Source organism: Homo sapiens, chromosome 15, assembly GCF_000001405.40.
Source record: "Homo sapiens chromosome 15, GRCh38.p14 Primary Assembly".
Taxonomy (NCBI): Eukaryota; Metazoa; Chordata; class Mammalia; order Primates; family Hominidae; genus Homo; species Homo sapiens.
In genome coordinates, this window is record NC_000015.10 from 56,147,456 (window position 1) to 56,149,404 (window position 1,949).

Below are 1,949 nucleotides of genomic sequence, written 5' to 3' on the forward strand. Positions count from 1 at the left end.
TTGGGGTGAGGAAAAGGTTTTGAAACTAGATTCAGATGGTACTTGTACAACACAGTTAATGTACTAAATATCACTAATGGTAAATTTTATGCTATGTATATTTTACTACAATAAAAAATCTAATTTTTTTTTTTTTGAGGTGGAGTCTTGCTGTGTCGCCCAGGCTGGAGTGCAGTGGTGCAATCTCAGCTCACTGCAAGCTCCGCCCCCCGGGTTCACACCATTCTCCTGACTCAGCCTTCCGAGCAGCTGGGACTACTGGCACCCGCCACCAGGCCCAGCCAATTTTTTGCATTTTTAGTAGACACAGGGTTTCACCGTGTTAGCGAGGATGGTCTCGATCTCCTGACCTCATGATCCGCCTGCCTTGGCCTCCCAAAGTGCTGGGATTACAGGCGTGAGCCACCATGCCCAGCCTAAAAACTCTAATTTTTAACAGAGATTTGCACATTTGGAAAACATATCTGATGATTCGAAGTGAAACTTAAATGACAAACAACATTTGTAGACTTAAAAGTCTTCACTTACTTGAGTTGAAGAAGTTCTCAAAGAAAAGCTAGTGAAAACGGTTTCAAATTTAGGCAGAACCTCAAATATTATTCAAGTCTTTTGAATGAGGTAGCTGATAATTTCATACTATTGCAGTTGAAGATCTTGCCTGAAAACTTAAAAGACCTCTTTCTCATGCACTTCAATCTTTGCAAAAAGATATTAAAAAGGAATCTTTGAACTCAAGTTTGATTTATATGTCAAACACATTCCAGGAAACAATTTTGGAGAATTTTCAAAAAATATCCTTGGTTATTTCCAGCAAGTGAGCCGACCTTGCATGTCATCATCCCATTTTCATAAGCAAAGATTTATGAAGACGGTTTTTCTGAACTTTTAGCTATGAAAGCACAACAATGCTACAAACTTAATGACGATTGAGATGGTACTTTGACCTTTCACATTCTGGACAGAAAAGCCTGTAGCAAACAATCAGATTCAACATTCATTTTTATATTATGTGATCAAGGGGAAAATGAAGGCATAGTGTAAGATCAAGTTGCTTTTGGAGGTTGAAGGTGGACTTTGGTGTTTGAATCCTGCCACGCAACCCCCTTCCCTTCTAAAACTTTGGTTGACAAAAAATACTGACATAAGAACTAGTAACATGAAGCTAATTCTTTCTATGAGGTGCAAGTGTAGAGGTGAAGAAAACATGGGACAGAGACAGTATTCCATCTGCTCACCTACATTTCTCAGTCCACTTTGCAGTTAGCTTGTAGTCATGTGATTATTATGAATCTGATCACAGTGATGTAATTCACTACTCAGCTGACAGTTAAGAATCAATGTGTCGGCCGGGGGCAGTGGCTCAAGCCTGTAATCCCAGAACTTTGGGAGGCTGAGGTGGGCGGATCATGAAGTCAGGAGATTGAGACCATCCTGGCTAACACGGTGAAACCCCATCTCTACTAAAAATACAAAGAAAATTAGCCAGGCGTGGTGGTGGGAGCCTGTAGTCCCAGCTACTCGGGAGGCTGAGGCAGGAGAATGGTGTGAACCCGGAAGGCGGAGCTTGCAGTGAGCTGAGATTGCGCCACTGCACTCCAGCCTCAGCGACAGAGCGAGACTCCGTCTCAAAAAAAAAAAAAAAAAAAATCAATGTGTCACCCCATCCCATTTCCCCCTCTGTGGCACCTTGGAAGCCATGTGTTGCACTGGTGAAGCTATAACATGTCAGCCTTCCTGTCAATGTTGGTTCTGAGGGATTATTTGGAACAGTGGTCTTCAGTGATTTCTGCTGCATATGATGTGAATGAAAATACATTTTTGTGGTTAGGCCACTGGTATTTCAGGCTTAGTTACAACATCATAGATTAGCCCATCCTGATTAATATAAAAATTAGACTCTTTCCTCTAGCACCTTTGAGGAAACTGAAGGATCCTTTTTACATATGCAG

General features: G+C 41.6%; 1 protein-coding gene across 9 annotated transcripts in view; it reads right to left on the reverse strand.

The window, feature by feature from the left end:
- The window catches only part of RFX7 (regulatory factor X7), a 157,803-nt gene that overhangs the window by 60,176 nt on the left and 95,678 nt on the right, over nt 1-1,949 (reverse strand). The gene's annotated exons all lie outside the window — the stretch shown is intronic.